At 35.4% G+C, this 11,015-nt stretch overlaps 1 protein-coding gene across 1 annotated transcript in view, besides 1 other annotated feature; it reads right to left on the bottom strand.

Moving 5' to 3' along the window:
- Window positions 1–2,552: 2,552 nt before the first annotated feature.
- Window positions 2,553–11,015, bottom strand: part of MUC19 (mucin 19, oligomeric (gene/pseudogene)) — a gene marked incomplete in the record, with an annotated part of 177,364 nt that continues 168,901 nt past the window's right edge. The window contains 8 exon segments of the mRNA NM_173600.2: window positions 2,553–2,847; window positions 3,506–3,614; window positions 4,268–4,303; window positions 5,598–5,712; window positions 7,147–7,184; window positions 7,515–7,677; window positions 7,766–7,797; window positions 9,750–9,779. Of these exon segments, the coding sequence (NP_775871.2) occupies window positions 2,664–2,847; window positions 3,506–3,614; window positions 4,268–4,303; window positions 5,598–5,712; window positions 7,147–7,184; window positions 7,515–7,677; window positions 7,766–7,797; window positions 9,750–9,779 (707 nt within the window).
- Window positions 6,642–7,841: an enhancer, noted in NCBI's record as "MED14-independent group 3 enhancer chr12:40959271-40960470 (GRCh37/hg19 assembly coordinates)". NCBI's record gives its function as "activates an origin of replication core promoter dependent on BRD2, BRD4, P300/CBP and CDK7 cofactors, and independent of MED14, by STARR-seq in HCT116 cells {active_cell/tissue: HCT116}" and the evidence as "EXISTENCE:reporter gene assay evidence [ECO:0000049][PMID:35650434]".

Here is an 11,015-nt window from a genome sequence, read left to right as displayed (position 1 = left end):
CTGTAAAGGAAAATTCTCTATAGCCACTGTGCTTGGCAGAAGGTTGGCCTGAATTGAGGATTCACACTAATTTTGCAGATACAGCAAATAATTTGTATAGATAGCCCAGGACTTGAGGGGAGAAAAAATGGAGAATGACAAGAAGGGTTGGGGGAATTGTATGAATAATTCAGAACAGATCCATACCTGAACATAAGTGAATGCTTAAAGAAGAAGGTAGCAATTGTAGCAGAAATAAGGGTCATACAGGGGTTCAGCAGCCTAAATTCCCTCCACTGAAGCCACTTGGCATACCACCATGCTAATGATCATGGTTTTGTTAAATAAATGGAAGACAGTGATCTTCCATTTTCATAGTATCACGTCACTCAGCTACTTGGTAAAAAGGAGACAACTTTGATCCTTTTCTGGTGGTGGGAAGACAGCATTTATTTTCTCTGAGATAACCAAGTATGGATTGGCATTTTCATTTTGTGTCTAATACGCCTAGACAAGCACATCTATCTATAGGCTTATTGAATACTTTATTCACTGCCATGAAATGCTGTGCAGCAATGCTTCTAACCAAAGGAATTTATTTTCAAGTGAAGAAAAGTTCATATAGCGTCAAATCAAAGAAAAGAAAGGTACATACATACCTCAATAAATGTATTATGCTTTATTGTTCACAGATGGTAAACCTTAAAGATCAGCCTACTGAGCACTCCACTCTGATACCAGCTGAGGGATTAGTTGGTGTGCTGTTGGCAGGATGTAATATATTAGCTGGACCAGAAATCAATATTCATTTTGTCTCCCTTGTTCTGAAACTCCCAGCTAGCCATTTGGGGTCTCTCATAAGTCTAAAGCAGGCTTACTAAGCAGAAAATGCTGTCAGTATATTATCTGGGATGATCAAATCTGACTGTCAGGTGAAAATAGAGCTGCTACCACATGGTAAGGACTGTAATGTGGGTATAATGTTGACTCTGTGCTCTACTATTTCCTGAGGTAAAAGCTATTAAAGAAACTCCTGCAACCTCACCCATTTGGATTTTCAAGGCCTCAAGCTCCTCATAATTTTGTGAAATGATGAACTCTGGTATGCACTGAGAGGAAGGAAAACCTGGAACCAGTGACAGACATAGAGGAAAGTCAAAGGCCCTGGAACTGACTGTAGAAGTGAGATCTGTAATGCCCACTCATAAGGAATTGTTATCCACCTTTGGTAGCAATTACCAATATACTAACACATCTATTTTCTTCTCCACCATTAGACATACAGTGTTTGATGGTAGTTAAATTTACCACTAGTCCAACTGATACAGAAAAGTAAGAACTTGTTCATAAATAGGTTATGATAATTTGGGTTTGCCTTCATGTTGGGAAGGGGATAAGGGTGTTAATAATTGCACACATTTTACATTTTACCTGTGTAAATAATTTATCCAAGGCACATTTGAATATATATGTTCAGGAAGAAGGATGTGTGTGAGACAGCAAGGCAGTAGAATGTATTAAAGATGACAGCCATAATGTTAGTCAACCTCAGCCTCTTCTTTTTTTTTTTCAGACAGAGTCTTGCTCTGTCACTAGGCTGGAGTTCAGTGGCGCGATCTCGGCTCAGTGCAACCTCTGCCTCCCAGTTCAAGTGATTCTCCTGCCTCAGCCTTCGGAGTAGCTGGGACTACAGGTACGCGCCACCATGCCCGGCTAATTTTTGCATTTTTTTAGTGGAGATGGGGTTTCCCCATGTTGGCCAGGATGGTCTTGTTTTCTTTGACCTCTTGATCCACCTGCCTTGGCCTAACCTCTCTTTTTAGCTACCTATTTCACTGGTATACAATATACATGCACAGGACTGAGATAAAGAAAGATATTTATTTTGGTTTTGGTCTTGCTGAGTTTGTGGTACCTATAGAGCATCCAGTGAGAGATGTTAAATTCAAAGTTGTGTCAATGTGTCTGAGACTCAGAGGATGAGGGTGGTGATACAGACTGGAAATCCTCAAAGTGTAAATATATCTACTTAAATTGACGAAATTGGCCAAAGACTGAGTAAAATGTAAAGCAGAACAGGATGCGACTAGAAAACTAAACTTCAGAGGACTGGCAGAAATAAAGCTGTCCACATGATGTAGGAACATTTAAAATGATGTCACAGAAAGAAAAAAGAAATATCATAGAAACAAGGAGAAAAATGTCTCAAGAAAGGAAGAGTGGAGATGCTGTCAGACCCTGTAGGCAGAGCTAGAGAAGGTCACTGGTGTCCTAGCAGGAGGAGTTGTAGTAGGATGGGAAGAGTGATGCAACTGGCACAGGAAGTGAGAAAAGGAAACCAAGTCTACATTTTCAGTAAGTGAAGGAAATGAAATGGGAGAAGGGCATAAGAAGCTGAAGGATAAAAGGAAAATATATTGAAGAGTCATGATATGATCCAGTTTCTGCTAGACTTGCAGAATTCGTATTGCCGTAAAATAAATACCCTTGCTCACGAATTGCTTGTCAAGTTGTGTTTATTTTTCAGATCCAGTCAACAAGAGAACAAAATTCCTCACAATGAGAACTCATTGTTTTGAGTTATTCTCACATTGTTTAGTTTATTCTCACTTTTTAAATGATTATTTTTCCTCACTTATAAAATAAATACCAGGCCTGTTAAAACTGGGAAGGTGATGTCAGCATTAACTGTACATGAAGGTCGTATATAGTTGGCATATGTCTAAACAAGAGCAGGTCGTGATATGCTTGTATTGGTAAGGGATTGTACTGCCATCAGGACAGTCAAGTACAATGTCTCTGAGTTCATAGTTTTCTTCTCGGCAGCAAAGGCATGAATGTTCCAAGAGTAAGATATCATAATTGTACCTAAAAGAAAAATTCAGTAATAAACATTTTTAGAATTTTAAAAATAAATTGACATCAGTGCTCAAACTGTAACTGTCTAAGTGACTTAGCAAGCCTTGTAACCAATTTATTCTTTTTCTAGACCTTGCATTCCCCCTGTCACTGTAAAGCTCTGATGTTGCTCGGTGGTATTTGGTATGCAAGACCAAGAGAAATAAGAAATCTGAAAGGAAGTTATAATCTCATAACTGGAGCATTATGGCAAAAAAGTAAACTAAATACAATTTTAAATATAACTTAATATGAGATTATTATCTCTATATTAATCTATACATAAAAGTGTACATAAAGGAAAAGCATACTATCTAAATTTCAAGTTTAAGTAATTCAAGAAATTCACTTCTTTGCTTAAATATTTTCTGTAGTCACTGTATGAGATGACTAAATTTGTTACAAATGTATCATGTATATTTAGAAAACTACTTCAGAATGACTCATCACTATTTTAAGTGAATATTTTAGTTCTCAGATCTTAATATCTTAGATTCTTCTTTCATTTGGTCCTGATAACAGAATAGTATTGCTCTCACATAAAAGTTTTTCCGAGTAATATTTAAAAAGATCCATTTTCTCCACAAGGTTACAAAGTTTACACATGATACACATTCAAAGAACTCACTTGGCAGTCTTTTCACATTCCCCTGTGCATTTTGCCATCTGAACTCTTTTCTTGCAACCACTGTAGATAACAGTCACATTTACAAGGGAAGATCTGCAATTATTCTTACCTAAAATGAAATGGAAAAGAGAGTCAGAAGTGAGGTTTAACATTAACAATTGCTAATCCTTCATTTTCTTAACCTATAAATAATAGCAACTACTTCACAACATTATTGAGGTGATTAACCATCTCAGCATCATTACAAGGTAGCTGGTTAATACTCAGATTACTGGTATCTTGTTGTTCCTGTTATCACTATCACACTATCACAGGTGAAGGGGTTGAGGGGAGAAGTAAGAGGAAGGGAGAAGGGAAGACATGGGCGAATGGATTATTTTGATATCCATCAAAAACAGGGGTGGATTAATTATTTTTGACATCCATTTTCTCATCACTGATTATCCTTATGATCTAATGCACCAGTTCACAACACAACTTGCTGATGCAAAAGAACAAGCTCATCTTTTCCATGAAAATTACATTTGTTCCCTTGTAAACATTATTATTTTTACTGAGAAGAATGTTTCAATCAACATGAATATGTGGCCATAATACATTATGTACAAATATCAAATGGAAGTTTATACATGTAGGCTAGATTACCTGTTGTGTTAAAAATACGAGATACTTTCTCTTAATGATCTGCCATTTTGTTTTAAAGAAATTAAACTTTTGTCAACAGCTTACATTTCTCTCTATGCAGAACTTAACTTTACTCACATGTATAGCAACATTTTTTTGAATCATAGATTCTGTCTTCCTGTAAGGGTAAGAAAAAAGAAAAAAGACTGGAAACGTTATTCCAAATTTTTCTGCAAATAATATAACACTTCTTAATTTGTTAAAATGCCTCACATCACAAACAGGAAATGGGACAGATGGACAATCTTACCTCAGATCTAGTAAGCAAAGGACAGAAAAGGAGAAAGATCAGCTGAGTAATAAAAATGTGACTAAAATTTTTCAACAAGGAGTCAAGGAAAAATAAGCTTTAAACTAAATTCTTGTCAAAGATAACATTAAATAATATTAAATTATTTCTCATTTACTGAAAAATACTTTAACAATAATATTACTACTAATACATTAGAAACATAATTAGAAGCAGCACCTTTGAGAAATTGATAGTTTTAAAATTATAACAAAGTGAAAGCATGATAAATATTGAAATCCGGTATTAGAGCTCAAAAATAAAACTTTAAACCATATTATCAATTATATCTTCAGAAAGAAAAATGATAACTTAAACCTCCCTTAATAATTGAAACTTAAGCATTCATTAATATAAAACCCAGTCATATTTGGGGGGCATAGAAATGGAGAAAACTGTGACACAAAGAAAGATCTAAAGTACCCAGACATGATTATACAGAAAAATTGGTATTCTTATAGACTGAGCTATTTTTAAAAGTTAGTGAGTTTTTTAGTTTCAAAATAGCAAAATGCTTTCTATAATAACTTACTTCTTCTAGATTAGCACTAAATTAAGTTTTATAAAGCCTGTAAAACATGAGAGCCTTTCTTGATATGAAAATAATTTATACTTAACAATAAAACATGAGCATGTCTGGAATCATCTGGGCTCTGGATATGATGAATTTGTTTAAAGAGCTATACAACCTACAAGATATTTATGTCTGCTAGCCAGACACAAACATTTTCTAATGAGATAGAAGACAGGTTGATTTTTTTTTTCTTTTTTTTTTTTTTTTTTTTAGATGAAGTCTCACTGTTGTCCCCCAGGCTGGAGTGCAACGGCACAATCTTGGCTAACTGCTACCTCCGCCTCCTGGGCCCAAGTGATTCTCCTGCCTCAGCCTCCTGAGTAGCTGGGATTACAGGCACCTGCTACCATGCCCAGCTAATTTTTATATATTTAGTAGAGACGGGGTTTCACCATATTTCCCAGGCTAGTCTCGAACTCCTGACCTCAGGTGATCCGCCCGCCTCGGCCTCCCACAGTGCTGGGATTACAGGCCTGAGCCACCGCGCCCGGCCAGGGTTTGTTTAATATGAGAACTGAATCTCGGCGTTCATTAGTTAAGATGACTTGCTTCTGCACACCAGGTTTGCTTTGGGCAGTCCTGGACTACTGCAGCAAAGCCCGTGTCTTTGCAGGAGTAGGAGACACAGGGGTTGCTGGGGTCATCGAATGAAGCACCAATCTGGGAGGAAAAGAGGGGGAAGAAAACAAAATAATTATTCACCTTGATTTCTTTTAGAGGTTGGCAAGAACATCAGTTTAAAAATTCAAATTCATGTTTAGTGATTTTCCAGAGGCACTTTGTCATTAGGTTAGTAGTAAAAAAGAAAAGATGGTTTGAAAGTCTTCCACTTCCATGAATAAACCAAATTTGTTCATTGAGAGCACAGAGTGTGTCAAGATTCTCAATCCTCAAATTAAGATTCACCAACAGTTACTCTATTATATTTTCAAGAAATTTTCAAGACAGGTTTTTTATAGTGATCAAGCAGTTAATCAATTGTTATGTTCTAAGCTTAAGGGGAAACAAGAAATTTAAGTGGGGAAAAAATGGCACAAAATAGGCTTATCATATTAAAACAAATGACAAGTCTCACAAGATGTCTTACTTTTCTCTTGGCCTATATTCCTATACTTTTAAAGTTCTCTGGTGTTACTTTATAATTAGCTTATGTTAAATATTCAAACAACAGTTAGAGAAACTGCATTTATTTCACAGCCTCAGACAAGATGAACTTTCTGATAAATTGGAATTTTATTATTAAATGATCAGAAGAAAGCTTTCCTTTTGTTCCTTAAATATCATCATATTTTGTGTTTAAAAACTATCACAGGTTCAAGTCAGATCAACTTTGGAAACTAAAAATTAAGAAGTCCAGGTGGAAATTTGAGTGTGATAAATGGGTTATCCAAGTAAAACTCTCATAGGCTGTTTTATCTATTTCTTAATATACCACATATATTTCACTTTAGATTTTTTAATATTTACTATCACATTTCAAGTGTGTTAATATCAATTTGAGAATCATCTGATTTTTACGGCTTCCTTATACTTTTTTCTAAAAAGTTAAATTACTGTCCAAAATGTCAAATTCGTTGTCAAAATCCAGCCTTGAATGTATTGTGTTGCTGTAGCTGCATAATAGGGTTCTAGCCCTTTGGGTTTTCTTATTTGATCTCTGACAGCTTGACCATCTGATCTTTCTGGTTATAATTACAGTTTGACTCTATTCATTGATTTGAATGTTACAAAGTATGTCTTCTCCATCTGGCAAGGCCCTTGGGAAATTTTGTTCAGAAGCTCTACTGCTGAGTAGTTAATGATCAAGTACTATGTTTTCCTCCTTTGCAGAGTCATGGTGAGTGTTACATTTGATGTTCCTTTGGAAGTGGGGGTGGGGAAAAAAATGAACGGATTCCAATCCATTGTTACTAGGGTTAAAATATATATATATACATACATATATATTTATTTATTATATAATTTCTTATGTATATAATATATATACTTATGTATATTACATATATAAAATAGGCTGAAAGTCCCTTAATGTAGCCCAGCATTAAATTTATTCTTATAATTAACAAAAACATTTTAATGAAGAAAAGACCTTACCTCATAGTCAGTATTGTTAAATAAACATGTTCTTGGTTCTGAAAAATAAACATATTGTTTTATTCTAAAATACTATAATTTCTATTTATAAAACAGAAATTGTAGATGAGATCATACATAGAAACCAACTATGTTTCTACCCATAATAGCATAGTGTTCCTTTAATCTACTGATTATATTCATAATTTAATTCTGGGTAACCCCCATTCTGAAGATGGTAAGATTTAAGAATGCAAATATTATTATACTAATTCTGTATTATTTATTACACCTGCCTAGTATTATGTTCGACAAAATTGGTAGCTCAAAAAGTATCTCTTGAATATGTGAATAAAAAACCAACAAACATATTCAATTAAAATACACACCACAGTATCCGATTTCACAGCAGGTGTCATTAGATTGGAACTTCACAAGCTTCTCGCCGGTTTTGCATGTGGGTGGAGAAGGGCACTCCTCAGGTTTACAGTCTATAGTCTTTGCATCAGTACAGGTACCTCTGTGGCAATTGGCAGTCCATATGTCTCCAGGCTACATAAACAAACCAAGTTTAGACTTCTATTCAAATACAGGAATGAGAGCAAATTTGGATTAAAGTAGAGCAAAACTGTGTACTTACAGATTTCTCTTCTCCCAATGGACCGTGACAAACCGTTGACATAAATGATAAATGGTAATTAAATTTGGCAAAATATAACCATCTGTTATTTATAGATAACCACCAGGTGGCCAGTACTGTAATTGGCATTAGGATTTCAGAGTGACTGAATTATAGAAGATTTTATGTTGCCTTAAGGTGAATAAAATCACGTCCACCTGCTTCAAGCAAACTGTTCCCAACAGGCATATCCTATTTTTACAATCCTCCGCAAAGGATAATTCTTAATTTCTCCAGGCAGTGGTCAATCAATCTTATGGCTACTAACTGACTTACTGTTTTGCAGTCTGACTTCCGCTTTTCCAATCCTACAAGTCACCATGGCTTCATAATTACCAGACCCAAGGGCCCTTTCTCAGTTTTTCTGTGCCATAGTTGACATTTTTCATTCTTACCTTCTTGAAAAATGCTCTCCTTTCTTCAGATTTAATGCTCTGAAATTTTTGTCTTCACTGGCAGTTTGTCTTACTGCCTCTCATTTTGGCTCTAATTCTTTCTTCTGTCTCCACAATGTGCACCATAACATCAAAAGAATGGCTCTAAAATGCCCAGCTCCAGCCCAGACCTCTCTCATAGCTTTGGAGCCAGTTCTCTCTCAACCTATAGACAGAATCCTGGCAGACCTATAGAAACCCAAAACTTGATGTGCACACAACATATTTTATCATCTTCCCCCCAAAACCAGCTTCTCTTCTAGATTGGCTTCCTTCTCTAAGGATAGAACTATACTTTCAATCATTCAAGCTTAAAATCAAGGAGCCATTTGATTTCTTCCTTCTAGCACTGGCGTCAAATCTACTGCCAAATCCTGTATCTTTACACTCACATTCATTTCTTCCTTTCCTTATTCTACTTGCTAAAATGCCACTCCAAGATCTTATTAAAGTTTTGATCTAGCATACTCTACTGGCTTTTTTAAGGGAGTTATTCTGACTCATATCTCTTTCTGATCCAATGAGGTAATGTAATTTTTCTAAAGCCTAATTCTCATCTCATTTACTACTTTGATGGCCCCTTATAGTTGTGTAAAACAAACAGTTTATTCTAGCATTCTAGCTTTTGAGGTCTCTCATATTGTGACTCAAACTGACCTTCTCAACTTTGTCTCACTTCTCTCATTTACATGCCCTGGACTGGTCTATTTGTGTTCTCCAATTCCAATACTGTAAAGAAATTCCTAGATATACCTAATGCTAAATGACGAGTTAATGGGTGCAGCACACCAACATGGCACATGTATACATATGTAACAAACCTGCACATAGTGCACATGTACCCTAAAACTTAAAGTATAATAATAATAAAATTTAAAAAAAGAAATTCTTGGGGATACCTTAAAATATACAAGTGACATACAATATGCACTCTATATATAATACATAGTTTATACTTTTACTTGGAAATTTATTTTCTGCCTGATATGAAAATTGCCTATGTCTTTGAAGACCTTCCTTCTCCCACTATGTACTATGGTCAGAGAATTATTTTTTAGTAATTTTTTTTTGCTCACTGCAAAGCACACCACATTGTCTTGAGAATGGTAGGGACTGAAAGTTCTCTAAAATTACTTATCTCTGGCTAAATGGATTTTTTTTTCTACTACAGCTCATCCCTCAAGTTGGAATTATCTAGTTTAAAAAGATGCTCACTATCAAGTGATAATATTTTGGTTAAGGTATCATAATTATATGAAACATTTAGTAGGTAAACCTTGCTTTGATCTAAGTAACAAGGTATATTTGTTTGGTTTGGCTTCATTGGTTTGTGAAGGAGGAAATGAACTATTACTCACTATTTGGTGAATAAAAGCTAAGTTAATCCAATACATGTTTTGCTATTTTATAACATTTCCATGGCTAGTGACTTTTATTAGCGTGACCTCTGAAATTTGATTGACAAGAGGAACCATTAATGTGGAACAATTCTGAAGTCGTGGAATTATTACCTGGAGCTGGTGGAAGTGAGGCTAGACATTCTGTGTAAAAACAGGAACCTTAAGTTAGTCTCTGAAGTTACTGGAATAGTATTGGGGCAAGTATAGTTATCTAATTCATTATTCTATTGCTGAAAATAATTGTCTACATAGCTAGTCTTACAAATAGATATATTCCCATCTATCCCCCCTTCCTGCTCCTCGCTGCATTTGAAATTCCACTGTACAGTGCTTCCTTTGGACCTCACATTTTAATGAGAGAAAAATATAAGTATCAAAAGGAGAAAACATCAAGGTAAACTCTTCAAAAATTTTTTGAAGGCAGATCTAATGAATAGAACAATAAAAGAGATTTAAAAAGGGAAAAAAATAATTCTGCTACAGTATAAAATGAGTATTATTAATTACCCAGTTTTAGTCATTTAAAAACTTTTATTCTCCTTATCTTCTTGAAATACTTCAATTTTGCTCTAACTTCTCCCCCAACAAATGCTTTAAACTGGAAATATGTATCTTTTTTAGCCTTTACACGTCACATATTTTGGTCAATCGAACAATTCCCTCATAAATTTCAAATTCTTTTCCAAAACTTCTAAAAACAAAATGAATATTGTATTCAATCTGGTCAGATGCAGTGGCTCACGCCTGTAAATTGCAGCACTTTGGGAGGCCAAGGTGGGCAGATCACTTAAGGCCAGGAGTTTGAGACCAGCCTGGCCAACATGGTGAAACCTCGTCTCTACAAAAAATACAAAAATTAGACGGGCATGGTGGTGCCTGCCTGCAGTCCCAGCTACTAGGGAGGCTGAGGCAGGAGAATTGCTTGAACCCAAGAGGCAGAGCTTGCAGTGAGCCGAGACAGTGCCATTGCACTCCAGCCTGGGCAGCAGAGCAAGACTCTGTTTAAATATATATATGTTTTTCTTGGTAGGTTTTTCTTGGTAGGTTGATATATATATATGTGTGTATATATATATATACACACATATACACACATATATGTATACATATGTGTGTGTGTGTATATGTATATCAACCTACCAAGAAAAAGGCTGACCTAGGAGCAACACAATATTTGAAAAGAACTCAAAATTTCTACATGTTTAGGTAAAGTGATCCCAACAACTAATAGGCCCAAAATATAGATTACAAAATGAATTAAAGGTATGGAAATTTGGGTAATCAAATGTCTCCAACTCTACGTAGGGAGGCTAAGCCAGGTGCTAATTATGGATGCTTAGCAAATTAACAGAAACCAGCAACAGGAGAGAAAGAAGA

The sequence above is a fragment of the Homo sapiens genome, chromosome 12, assembly GCF_000001405.40.
Source record: "Homo sapiens chromosome 12, GRCh38.p14 Primary Assembly".
NCBI lineage: Eukaryota > Metazoa > Chordata > Mammalia > Primates > Hominidae > Homo > Homo sapiens.
This window is presented reverse-complemented; position numbering and strand designations above follow the sequence as displayed.